This window comes from Homo sapiens, chromosome 20, assembly GCF_000001405.40.
Source record: "Homo sapiens chromosome 20, GRCh38.p14 Primary Assembly".
Lineage (NCBI taxonomy): Eukaryota > Metazoa > Chordata > Mammalia > Primates > Hominidae > Homo > Homo sapiens.
Window position 1 is genome coordinate 16,325,833 of NC_000020.11, and position 13,918 is coordinate 16,339,750.

The 13,918-nt window shown below is 39.1% G+C and overlaps 1 protein-coding gene across 12 annotated transcripts in view; it reads right to left on the reverse strand.

Annotated features, from left to right (window-relative positions):
* The window catches only part of KIF16B (kinesin family member 16B), a 301,345-nt gene that overhangs the window by 53,729 nt on the left and 233,698 nt on the right, over positions 1 to 13,918 (reverse strand). For 8 of the 12 annotated variants that reach the window (XM_047440266.1, NM_001199865.2, XM_017027926.2 and 5 more), the window contains one exon: positions 10,094 to 10,183. The exons of the other annotated variants lie outside the window; for them this stretch is intronic. In XM_047440266.1, the coding sequence (XP_047296222.1) occupies positions 10,094 to 10,183 (90 nt within the window). The remainder of the gene's footprint in view (positions 1 to 10,093; positions 10,184 to 13,918) is intronic. 12 annotated transcript variants of the gene reach the window in all.

A 13,918-nucleotide genomic window follows, 5' to 3' on the forward strand; every position in this document is an offset into this window, starting at 1 on the left:
CATAGCCAAAGCAAGACTAGCAAAAAGAACAAATCTAGAGGTGTCACTTTACCCAACTTCAAACTATACTATAAGGCTACAGTCACCAAAACAGCATGTTACTGGTATAAAAATAGGCACATAGACCAACACAACAGAATAGAGAACCCAGAAATAAACCCAAATACTTACAGCCAACTGATCTTTGACAAAGCAAATAAAAACATAAAGTGGGGACAGGACACCTTATTCAACAAATGGGGCTGGGATAATTGGCAAGCCACAGGTAGAAGAATGAAACTGGATCATCAGCTCTCATCCTATATGCAAATCAACTCAGGATGAATCAAAGACTTAAATAGAAGACCTGAAACCATAAAAATTCTAGAAGATAACATTGGAAGAACTCTTCTGGACATTGGTTTAGGCAAAGCCTTCATGACCAAGAACCCAAAAGCAAATGCAACAAAAAAAAAAAGATAAATAGATGGGACTTAATTAAACTAAAAAGCTTCTGCACAGCAAAAGAAATAATCAGCAGAATAAACAGACAGCCCATAGAGTGGGAGAAAATCTTTGCAAACTATGTATTCGACAAAGGAATAATATCCAGAATCTATAAGGAGCTCAAAGAAATCAGCAAAAAAAAAAGAAAAAGAAAAAAAAACCCAAATAATCCCATCAAAAAGTGGGCTAAGGACATGAATAGACAATTCTCAAAAGAAGATACACAAATGGCCAACAAACTTATGAAAAAATGCTCAACATCACTAATTATCAGTTAAATGCAAATCAAACCCACAATGCGATACCACCTTACTCCTGCAAGGATGGCCATAATTTAAAAAATCAAAAAAATAAAAGATGTTGGCATGGATGTGGTAAAAAGGGAACACTTTTACACTTGCTGGTGGGAATGTAAACTAGTACAACCACTATAGAAAACAGTATGGAGATTCCTTAAAGAACTAAAAGTAGATCTGCCATTTGATCCAGCAAGCCTACTACTGGGTATCGACCCAGAGGAAAAGAAGTCATTATATGAAAAAGACACTTGCACACACATGTTTATAGCAGCACAACACTTCAAAATTGCAAAAACATGGAATCAGCCCAAATGCCCATCAACCAAGTGGATAAAGAAAATGTTATATATATATATATAACATATATATGTGTGTATGTGTATGTGTATGCATATATGTGTGTGTATATATATACACACACACATATATATGTATGTATATGTATACATGTACACACACACACACACACACACACACACACACACCATGGAATACTACTCAGCCATAAAAAGAAACAAGATAATGGCATTTGCAGCAACCTGGATGGAATTGGAGACCATTATCCTAAGTGAAGTACCTCAGGAATGAAAAACCAAACATCGTATGTTCTCACTCATAAGTGGGAGCTAAACTATGAGGAAACATGATACAATGGACTTCGGGGACTCAGGGGAAAGGGTGGGAGGGGGGATTAGGGATAATAGACTACACATTGGGTACAGTTTACACTGCTCAAGTGATGGGTATACCAAAATCTCAGAAATCGCCACTAACCACTAATGAACTTATCCATGTAACCAAACACACCTGTTTCCCAAACATTTATTGAAATAAAAAAAAAATCAACTAATGCTCCCAAGATAGATGCAAAAGAGGACAGCCAATGTCTTAATCAGTGGTCCAGAGAACATCCTATGGAGGATTTGCTCCCAATTACACACTCCTGAGCCCCAAGTCAGATTTACTGAATAAGAAATTCCTAGTTTGGGGCCTGAGTCTGCATATTTTGGAAAAGCTTCCCAGGTAATTTGGATGCTCATTGCGCCTCCACTCATCCTTGAAAGCAGTGATTTAAATGCTAGTTATCTACCAGTTGAAGAGAATGGTGTGATAGAAACCACACAGTGAACTACCTGGGCCTCTGATAATGTACAAGGTCAGGAAGCTGGCTGTATTCTATTTTTGTCTGCATAGCTGTTTGCTATTTAGAAATTCAAGGAGGCTGAGGGCTTGGTGCAACTGAATTTATCTAAGGCTTACTGGGTGCTCTCTGTGGCTGCAGTTGGTAGCATTATAATTTGGGTGGTGAGCAGATTTGCAATTTTTATATTAAACTTGAAATGCTAGTAATAAAACTGTTATAATGCATTTGAATAATAGATGGTCAATAGTTGTCCAAGACAAATACAAGGCCAACAGCCAAATTCTTTTCATTTCTTTCTTTGGTGCTGCTCAGAAAATAAAGAAGGTGAGAAATGGTTCATCAGCACTAACTGAAAGTCCATCTACAAATTAAATAACCTCTTGCCTAGTCGTTTTCTTCCCTCCCACTAGTATTTACTGGGTACCCAGAGAATGCCAGATGTGAGTGAACAATTGCTCTAACACAGCAATTTTCCATTTTTATGGAAGGCTCTCAAAATATTTTTCTCTCAGCTTTGTGGGGAGAAGGGAACTCCCTAGGGATGTGGCTGATTGAGGCTGATTGTGTTTGAAACTTGGGGACTCTAATGACTCACTGCGATAACTTAGTTATGATGAAGACAAGCAACATGAACTGTTCCATGTAGCTTATACTCTCATGATGCACAGGCATCCCCTAGCACTTGTTTTGATTGTACATTTTAATACATGAAATGTCTCATTTTCAAAATTCATTCTCTTGCCTCTAAGCGCAGCAGCACAAACTGGCTTCAGAATCATTTAGCCAAGAATATCATCAAAAGACCCTCAATGATTGATTCCAGTACTTCATCTGTTTCACAGTGAGATTTACGTCCTTGAAAAGTAAGGTTCCTGACTTAGTCCGTTCGGGCTGCTATAACAAAATACCTTAGACTGGGTAATTTATAAACAACAGAAATTTACTGCTCACAGTTCTGGAGGCTGTGAAGTCCAAGATCAGGGTGTAAGCAGATTCAGTACCTGCTGAGGTCTTGTTCTCCACAGATGGCCCCTTCTGTGTTCTCACATGGCAGGAGGTGGGGGCAAGCTCCCTCAGGTACTAATCCCATTTATGAGGGTCTCATGACCTAGTCACCTCCCAAAGGCCCCATCTCTTAATACCAACAAATTGTAGGTTAAATTTCAACACAATTTAGGAGGAACACAAACATTCAGTCCATAGCAGTGCTCATTAGGCTCTAGCATTTGAAAAGAAAGACACCCTGTTAAATGCATGAAAATAAAGTCTTTTTAAAAAAATCAGACAGGAGTTGGCATCTGTGAATCTCTTGGAAGCAGTAACTCTCCTGATGACCTCTGACCTTCCAGCCTCATGTCATCCAACTTTATTAAAATACCAGACCAGTCATCCAAAAAGCTAGGGGGATACTAGCTCTTCACTACTCATGCTAATGGATGAAAAAGAGATGTGGTTTTAAAAGTTTTTTTCTCTTCAGCTTGATGAGCTATGTTTCTGTTTTGCTGGACTCTTGGATTGTGACCTGGATCTATAATAGGTAAGCTTCATGAACACCAGACAGAAACAGTAACTCTATCTCCTTCTCATAGAAACAAAAAGAGAACACTTCATGGGGGCTTTGTTTCTGAGAATGTAACTTGATTGATATTTAAAAGCCTTACACTGATTTTAATAGAGTCAAAAATACATAGTTTTCATACAGAAAAAGCACTACAGAAATTATTCGCATGATAAAATTTCAAAGATCTGCTCTCTGGAAGATGCTGCATAATACTTCATAGTTGCTTTCAATAACACATTGTATCTGAGGCTCTCACAATCTTCTACAAACTAGCTGTGGCATTATCACTTTACAGACGTGAACTGGAAAACACAGGTTTAATTTGATTAAGATTCCATACAAGGTCAATGAAGGGGAACAGAAAATGAATGCCAGAAGGAGCTATTATCTTGCATAATACATGTCAATAGATGAAGAGGACAACTTAATTCAAAACAAAAGAGGAAACCCATTTGAAATCCAGAAGAAACTGCTAAGATTAAAGAAAATGAATAAATAAAAATACAACAACAATTTAAAAAACCCTGAGTAATGCAGCACCTCCAGTGAAGAACTCAGCCTACTCATACAGTGAATCTGAAAACAGAATGGCAATAATGTTCGTATATGATTGAAGATCACATGCAGCAAATCTGTCCTTCTTCAGTATTACAAAGTACAAAAAATTTAGGTTTTTTATTCATATAATCTGTCATCATACAATTAAAACAAGGACTAAATTTTCCTTTGGTTTTTGCTTTTCCCCTGCTCTCAACCCCAACTTCCCAGAATTTTATGGAACCCAGTGTCTTCTTGTCTGCTCAATTCCTAAGTTCTGTTTGTATTAACCTTAGGTTACTTCTATTTTATTCACAGACTTATCTTATATCTAATAATCAACAACTCCTTACCGCTTTAATTGGCTCACCACCCAAATGTATATAAAGTATTCCTGAGGGGTCTTCAGTTGACAAGCACATCATTCTCCTTAAGGAGACATTAAGGTAAATAATTAACCAAATGAATGTGAGTGAACAGGGGGATTAGAAGGCTTAGCTGAATGATGGTTAAGGAATTCTTAAACTTTCTCACTAGGGTGATGGCTTTCAGGACTCTCAGTCTACCTAACTTAGTGCATTCTTTACTGATCTTGGTTTTTCAGAAAGTCTTTAAGAACATTTAAGCAATTATCAGATTTCTTCACAAAGAAAGTCTAACACATGAACCAGAAGACATATAGGTATGTTCAAGAATGTTTACAGAGAAGTAGTCACAACAGCAATAATTGGGAAACTACCCAAATATTCATCAACAGGATTCTGGAAACCTGATAAGGTGACATGCCAAGTTTGTTATGAGACAATGTTGCTCATGCTTATGGTAAAAATGACACCCCTGACTCCCTGCCTCAATAAGTTGCATCTGGACAGGCAGAAATGACAGCTGTCTGGTGGGAAGCCATAGCTTTAGGATTCTCTGAGTGAGATGACTGGTAACTCAGCAGGCTGTTGGGACTCTAGAAATTCTGCCTATGGAGTTGTTATAAGAGACACTGGCTCCCTTCTGGCACGGGATTCTAGGCCAGAGTGGTTCTCACACATGCCCATGTGGGGCTCAACTCTGTACGTTAGCTATCACCTGGAGAAGTGAGGCAAGAACAGCTCTCAGACAGCCGAGTGGACTGCTCCAGAGACTGCTTGGGGGGCTTCTCCAAGCCCTTGTGCCCTGCTGGCAAGCAGTGATTCTTGTCCTGTGTCCTTCCCAGGGAAACTGACGCTGAGCATGGGCTATGGGAGTTGTGAGTCTGAATGCATAGCTGGACCCAGGAGGACTTCCTGGTGAGTGTTGCAAATCATTCCTACTGAGGGTTAGATTAAGAAGAACTTTCACATTCCATGTATATATTGTTGAATAATGTCAATCTTTTATAATGAACATGTAATTTATTATTGGGGAAAAAAGATTACCAAAAGAAAACAAATCTCCATCAAGAGACCTGTCACACCAAACTGTTAAAAGTATATCCCCCAGGAGACCACGGCTAAACTCCAGATGAAATGTGAATGGGCAGGATATCATTTTAGACAAAGTTCCAAAAGACTATAGGCTAACTAAAACTAAAGTGTTAAGGTGACAGAAGAGTCTATCTTGGCAAGCATATTCCTAATTCTGTATATTTTGAATTCCAGTGTGCTTTTCGATACTTCTTAGCTTGATTAAAATTTTGGAGCCTTGTATGGCTAGGTAAATTTAATATGTGTCATTTAAAAATATACTATCATCAAACATTTTGTTACCCTTGCAATTAAGAGAGCCAGAATAGTCTTCTACTTCCACAGAAATAATGAGCCCAATCTGGTGAAGGAGCGAAGTAAATAAAATATGTTCCCACTTGGCTATAAAATAGTCACCCATGAGAGGAAATTTTCAGGATCCTTTTGTATCAACCCTTTGGCTTTCCTGAAAGAGTTAGGTCTTTAGCAAATCAAGTGATTTCTAGGATGTTGTCAGGCCAAATAGTCCACTTGGAGGAGCAGATTAGCATTATTTACAGAGATGGTAATAATATAAGCACTAATGAGGGCAATAATAATTGACAAATACGTAATAAACATTGATCTCAAGTCTCAACAAATACTTAGCAAGTATTGACTATGTGAAGCTGAGCTGCATAAGAGTAAAAAGAACTTTACAGGAAAAGAGACAGCTGATATTCAACTTAATTTTAAGCTTTATCTTAAAAATGTTAAATGGACAATGCTGTTGTGAGTGAAATAAGATTTAGATCTAGAATGACAGGCTACTGTGTTTTTAGAAATAATTCTTTTTTCCCATTTTTATATTATTGTTGGTTTAGAAACAGAAAGTAGAGTGCAATGGCCTGGGACTGGCTTCTGCTCATCAATTGTTTGATACAAGGCAAGTTATTTACATCTCCCACTCTTCAGTATCTGTCTCTGTAAAACAAGGAGGGTAACAGCCCCCACACTTCCCAGTGATGTCCGAGAACCACATGAGATGCACAGCACAGCACCTGGCCCACGGTCAGCACCTTGTAAGTGTTGGAGTTATGGCTATGGACACAAACAACAGCATGGCACACCTCGGGGTCTGTACCTTTCAACATGTGGTGTTTGTTTTAGGAGCTTACTACAAGGTTTCAAATCACCACTCTCATAGTCTGTTTTCCTTCAAATACATGAACACACGTGTTTGTGGGTTCTCCTTTATATATAACATTCTTTTGTCCTTATGTGAGAGTAATTATAAGCCACAAAATTAAACACAACATGGAGAACCAATTTCCATTCTTAGCTAACATTGAGATCCTGAGCCTGTCTTCAGGAAAAGAGGCTTCTGCGAGCAGAAGTCGCCTATGAATAGAAATGGTCTGAAGACTGAAACTTAGCTAGAAATTGAAGCAGAAATAAAAGCACTTTACTTAGTGTAAAAGAAATAAAAAAATTTTTCTTAATTATTCCTGATCCAAACAATAACTTGTATTTTTAAGAGAAGGTTCATAATATCTTTCTCCTTTAAACTTTAGGCTTATATCCTTCATCTCTCTTGATAGTTCTAATTGGGTGTTTAAAAGTATCCTCAAATTAATGTCTAAAAAGAATTCTGGATTTGAGCTCTCTAGCACCCCAACCATCCATACTCGGTATGGCCATTAAAATGACCTTTTAAGTGTATAAATAAAACCACTTTGTTACCAGGCTTAATACTGTCCAGTGGCTTCCCATGCACTAGGAATACAGTTCAAGGCTCCACATGATAGAGTCCCTTCCTACCTCTTTGCCCACATTCCTCTACCATCCTCACCACTTTTCCAGGCCTTTTTGTTCTTGGAACAAACCAAACTTGGTTCTACTGCAGGGCCTTTGCACTTGCTCTTCCCGTGAGTTACAATGTACCCACCTCCAGATTTTCACGGCTGGCTCTTTCTCAGCATTCAGATCTCAGCACAAATTCCACTCTTTCAGAAAGGTGTGCCTGGTCTGCCCCACCTAAAGTAGTCCACTACCCAGCTCTCATGCCACACTATCACAAGGCCTGGTTTTATTCACTTTACACAAGCTGAAATTGCCTTATTTATTTGTTCACTGTTTATTCTCTCTACTTCATGAGAAGAGGGAATGCAGCTGTCTTGTTCACAATGTGTTCACCATGCAGAGTTGCTCAATACAGATGAGTGAATTAATGAATGACACCAACTTGATTTTCTTCATTTGAAGGTTTTTTAAAACATGTTTGTAATACACCCTTTTTCCTCTGGAAAATACTCTCATGTATGTGATAATCTGTGTTCATTCATTTTGCCTGGTACCAAGTAACTTCTTCGACTCACTGGTTCATGTCATTCTTAACCTTGGGTATGTTTTCTTCTATTATATCTTTAAAGATTGTTTCTGTTATGTTCATTCTGGAGTTTTCTTTAAAAACACAGATTAGAGTTGTATATTGGTGCTCTGAAAACTCTTTTAAATATCTCTCAGCTAATGTATCAACTAGAATGCCACCTTGTCAGGAGCCCAACCCTGAAACAACCTTGTACTAAAGTGTGCCCAACACCTTCTGCCCCACCATTCTTTATTGCTAATTTTCATATAAGGCATGTAACTCACTTTAAATGGTAACTGCAACACTGCATGCTTACTCTTAAAGTGCTAGCTATTATTTTCTCCTTGTTTACTGTCTGCCCCATATTTAAGATATATAGAAGAAGAAATTTTTGTTCTTGTCTGTCACAGTCTTACTGGAATCCAGAAAAATGTGCCTACACAGAATGGGTTGAAGTAATCAAATAATCAATATAAAATAAATACATCCTGGAATGAATGTGTGTGTGTGTATATAAAGTCTGAGTGCTTTTATTTCATGGAAATTGCTTTTGCTAGGTATTGCTTTGGGAATTCAGTGAGTTTAATTAAATACGCAAAATCCGTCCGTTATTAAAATACTGATGTAGTAACTTAAAACCAAGTGGTTAATGAGCTGCAAAGCTCACTTTAAAAACAAGCTGCTCTGTACATTTCATATGTACACAATACTTCTTTTAATTGTCAATATTGATTTCAGCCACGAAAATTAAACTGCAGAAACAAACTTAATAACTTGATTTTGATGTTATTACTGTTACAAGAAGCCTCTTGGGAACAAATTCCCACTTGAAGTTTCCTAAATTTTTAATAAAAGACTAGAGAGTGTGACAGCTTAGTAACAGAATTTCAGAGATAGCTTAAGATATGGTTTGGATGTGTGTTCCTTCCAAATCTCATGTTGAAATATGATCCCCAATGTTGGAGGTGGGGCCTAGTAGGAGGTGTTGGATCTTGAGGGCAGATTCCTCACAAACAGCTTGATGGTATCCCATGGTAATGAGTACCTTGAGATCTGATTGTGAAAAAGAGTCTAGGACCCCCTCCTTTCTCTCTTGCTCCCTGTCTCCCCATGTGACACACTGGGTCCCCTTCATATTCCACCATGATTGGAAGCTTCCTGAGGCCCTCACCAGAAGTGCTTCATGTACAGCCTGTAGAACTGTAAGTCAAATAAACCTCTTTTCTTCATAAATTACCCAGTCTCTGGTAATCCTTTATAGCAATGCAAACAAACTAACACAGCTTAATTCTACCTGAGCTCAAGATTCTTCTATACACCAGGGAACTATTTTATTTACAAAAAGCTATTTCTCTTTGTATTTTATATCAGATTTTAAAAAGGGTGGAAGCCATGAGAATGTTAAGGAAACATTATTTAATGTGAACCAAATTAGTGAACCAAATTTCTAACTATATTTTAAAATGTCATAAAAAACCATAAAAATAGTGCTCAAAACCAATAATTGGTGAAAGCAGGCTAGTTAGACAATGACTGTTGATTGATCTGCAGTCAGTTCAACACAAAATTCCCAGAAAGCTGGACCTAGATAATGCTTCCTTTAGTTGAAGTAAAATCATCTTCATCATCATCATTACTTGGAAAACACACATTCCTTCTAGGAATACTTTGCTTAAAATTACTTGAGAAACCTGTGTTTGTTCAAAAAGGAAAAGACGACTAATGTATTAATACCCTCTGGATATTTGATCTGATGCATGAAATGCTTTCTGGTCTCTAGATAATTCTGCATTTTCTATCTACCTTTCCCTCTACGTTCAATGGCAAAATAACTGTTATGACTTGACTTCTCATTAAGTATAAGACTAAGCATGAATGTAGTCTTTCTTTTTTAAAGAAAAAAGTGTAAATCTATATGAAGAAGTTATTTTAATTTTAATAGGTCTCATAATTGAGAAGTTATAAATTGATTAAAATATGTATTTAAAATTTACCATAAAATTTATGAGAAGGATGGAGTTCACTTACTGTCATTGTAATATCACTTTCAAAATCTTCTGTTAAGAAAATGTTTAAATTGTGTAGAACAGAAATGGAACAAAGAAGAAAAAATTTAAAGTTATCTTTGATAAATGGGTTATTGAAGTAAGACTTAGTGACACTAATAAGCTAGTATCTGAAAGAGAGAGACAGAGAGAGAGATAACATTGCTAATGCAATCAGCTCATTTACTTTATAAAATGAATGCTCTTAATCGGAGATAATAATTTCATAACTTACCTCTGCATACTTTAACTTCAATGTTTTATGCATTTCTCGAAAACGACTGTAACGCCTGAATACAGTCCATGTCTCATCTAGGACAGTAATCTATTAACCAGGAAAACCAAAATGAATAAGCATTAAGAAGCAAAAGTCACTAAAATTTTTCAAAAGAATTTAAAAATTAAATTTAAAAAAAGTGATTAGCATGTAAAATTTCTCTAGAACTGAAAACATTAATCTAGCTGCATAAATACAACTTAGAAATAATAAATGTACTTTACTTAAACATGCAGCTTTGGCTCTCAGATCTTGTTACAGGCAGCTTGTCTATGTAAAGTGAAGGGCAGATGGTCATCTCTTAATTGGTTATAAAAAGTGTCCCTTTTTATAGAAACACTTTTAAAGAAGAGGAGGTGGAAGAGGAAAAAAATCTCACTGCCTCTCAGTCATTGTTAGTATAATAACACAACAGTATATTTTGCTTTTTTTCAGAGGGAGAATAATCAATTCAGCCTTTAATAGGCTAGCTGGAGTGGAAACTCTGTTGCACATCAGCTCACATATGAAAGGTCACAGTGACAAGAAGAGGCAGGTAGACCACATCAGCCTTTACAATCACACCTAAAGCACAGGCCAATGAATCTCCAATTCCTTTCTCCACTTCCCACCTTTCTTCTGCGCTCTAGACCCACATACCCAACTTGGCACATCTTTCTTCCCATGTCACCCAGGAACCTCCAATTCAATTTGTCCAAAACCATACTCAACATATTCCCTCCAGTCCCAGCTCTGGTATTCTCCATTTCAAAGCATTCTACCACCACCTACCCAGCAATGCCAGCCAGAGATGCTGAAGTCATCCCTGACCTCCCTTCTCTTCCTATCCCTGCATTCAAGCAAGTGCTAAGTCTTGCTCCTTTTGCCTTCTAAACATTTCTTAGAACTTTATCCTTCCATCCTTTGCCATCAGCACCATTTGACTTTAGGCCTTTGGGTCTCCTGTGGACTCTGCAAGAGCATCTCCCAACTGTCCACCCCACATCTGCCCTCTCCAATCTCTTTTCTGCATGACTGAAAACAGATCTTTTAGAACTCAAATCTAACCATTTGATTTGGGAGGTGACCCTCCTTAAGGCGAGCTTCATGCTGCTCATAGAAAAAGACCTACATTTTTAACCTGCCCACAGCAGCCTGTCTGCAGGCCTCTCCTGCTAGGTGTCTTCACTCCTGCTGCATCCCTGAATGCGCATATTCTCTGCCACCTCAGGGCCTTTGCACGGGCCATGCTCCTTTATGGGAACTTAACTTGCACATAAGGGAAATGCTCTTCTCAAGCACAATAATTCAGCCTGATTCTCCCGCAGGTAAATCATAGGGCCATCAGTAGAAAGTAGAAACAAGAAAGAGAGAAGACACAGGTGGGCAGCTTTGTAAGGAGGAGTGAGTCTGAGTCCCAGCCATTCTTTCATTCGCTCACTTCCCAAAAGTGGCAAATGAGATGATCTAGGGTGTATGAGGATGTACATTTTTAAATTTTTCATCATTCTGGTTCTGTACTCATTTTTTACAATAACTTTTCAATTGTGGCAGGTTTCTTATGAGTTTCCTTGAAAAAGACATTTCCATAAGAAAACAAAAGTGAATGTATTTACAGAAAATCATTACAAACAAGAGTGGAGGTGCTCTGCAGTAGTAAGCATTTAAAGCTGGCAAGCACGTCACTTGAGCTTGGGAAACCCTGCTCCTGGCTGTGAGCTGGTTGGCCTTCCTCTCTGGCTTGCTCCTCCTCAGCAGACCCCACTGAGGCACTGAGAGCAAGGCCAGCACAATCAGTGAGGATGTGGGGGCTTCCTCCGGCCCACAGCCCAACAATCCACAGTCTTGGCTGGACACAAACCAGGTGGCAAAGACAAAACTGGAGCACAAGTGGGCCCTGCTGCCTTCCAACAGGGCATGCTGCAGCCTGTTTGCACAGAAAAGCCCAGGAAGTTAATGGAACCACTTCATGACCTGTGAGTAGTAAGATGCAGGATGTTTCACAGGTGAGACTATACTATACTGGGACTCAAGATTCCTCAGAAAGCCACCTCCAAAAGCCTAGGTTTCTCACATTCCTCAGACTGATGTTCCTGGCTCTCCTTCCTTCTCCTGAAATGCTTCCACTGCACTTCTTGGGCTCATGGGCAATCATCAGCAAAATCCCCCAGGACCTCAGCCTCTTCTGGAACATCCCTTTCATCTTTGCTGTAACTGAAACCCGGCTCTCCCGTGAGGAAGCACTTCCGTGGCAATGCTCTCCAGCCGGGACTGTCTTCTCCCCCCACACTCTTCATCCTACCGTGCTGGGATGGCGGTCGATACTCTTGTTCTTCACTCCAACTTCCAAATAACTGCTCCTGTATCCTCTCTGAACTCTCTACTCTGTGAGCATAGTGCTTTCAGACCCTGCTGCTCTACCCTCCTCCTTGCAGGCAGCCATTCACCCTGGTTGCTTCCCCAATTCCTTGAAGGTTTAGAGTCTACTCACTGTCATCTGCTTCAGCCCTATTGATCTCCTGCATGATTCTTGGTAATTTCATTAATCACCCAGATGATCCCTCCAACACCCTGACCTCTAATGTCCTTTTACCTCTGCCCTGGTTTCTTCCTCACTCAACTTGAAAACCATGAGAAATCCTCATAAGCACAAAACCTCAAATCTGTCCCACTCTTGAAATTCTCTGGACAAAAATAACTCACTACTCTTGTTAAAACCAACTGTCTGCTCACTCCCTGCCTGCACCTGCCCAGCAGAATGGGGCTGAGGAATAACACGCCACCAAACAGACTGATCTCATTTTAAAGTCACAATTGCCACCATCAAGTGGCAATTGATGACACCCACCAATCATGCCACGTTTTCCAATTCTGTGCACTCTTCCATTCTCTTACAAAATGATTACTCCTCTTTGTCCTCAAGTCTTTAACACCTCTCTCCATCCTCTCAGCTGACAACCTTAAGTCCTTAAAACAAAATTCCAGGGAATAATGGGAAGAAATTGATGACATCAAAAATTTTTCAGGAATTTTGTTTTAATGGAAAGGACAGAAGTGGAGTGGCAGACGGAAGGGAAAGGCAAGTCGAAATGGGAGTTTAAGATGAGAGAAATAATGGTGCGTTTAAATGCTCATGGAGTAATATGACAGAAAGGAGGCTGTGTTGGTGCAGGAGAGGAGAAAATTGTTAATTGCGGTGTCTTTCAGAAATCTACTCACCATTCCACCCAGACTACTCTTACCAAGGTTAGCAATGGCTTCTGTATTGCTAAATCCACTGGTCAATTTTTGGTTTTGATCGTACTCAGTCTATGGGAAGGATCTGACGTAGCTGTCTGATAGCGTTCTCCTCCTTCAAACATCTTTTTCATTTATTTCAGCTTCCACTGCTACACTTTTATCTTAGTTTTCTTTTCATCTGGGATTTCTCATCTCCCTGACTTCTAAACATCGAGTCCTCCAGGGCTCAATCTTGAACATGTTTTATTTTCTACCTGCACTCACTGCTTTGGTGACCTCATCCCATCTCACGGCATAAATTTACATGTGGATGACTCCCTGGATGCCTGTACCTCTCTCCTGAACCCAGACTCGTATATCCGACTGGCTACTTGACAAGCTGGCCTACTCAGATGTCTAATACGCATCTCACACTTATCATGGCTGCACTTACCAAAATTAATCTCATTCAAACCTGCTCCCTTTCCCCATCTCAGTAAATGACAATGCTATTCTTCTCCCTGTTCCATGCAAAAACTCTGGCATCATCCTTGATGTTTGTCTTTCCTGTTCACATCTCACATC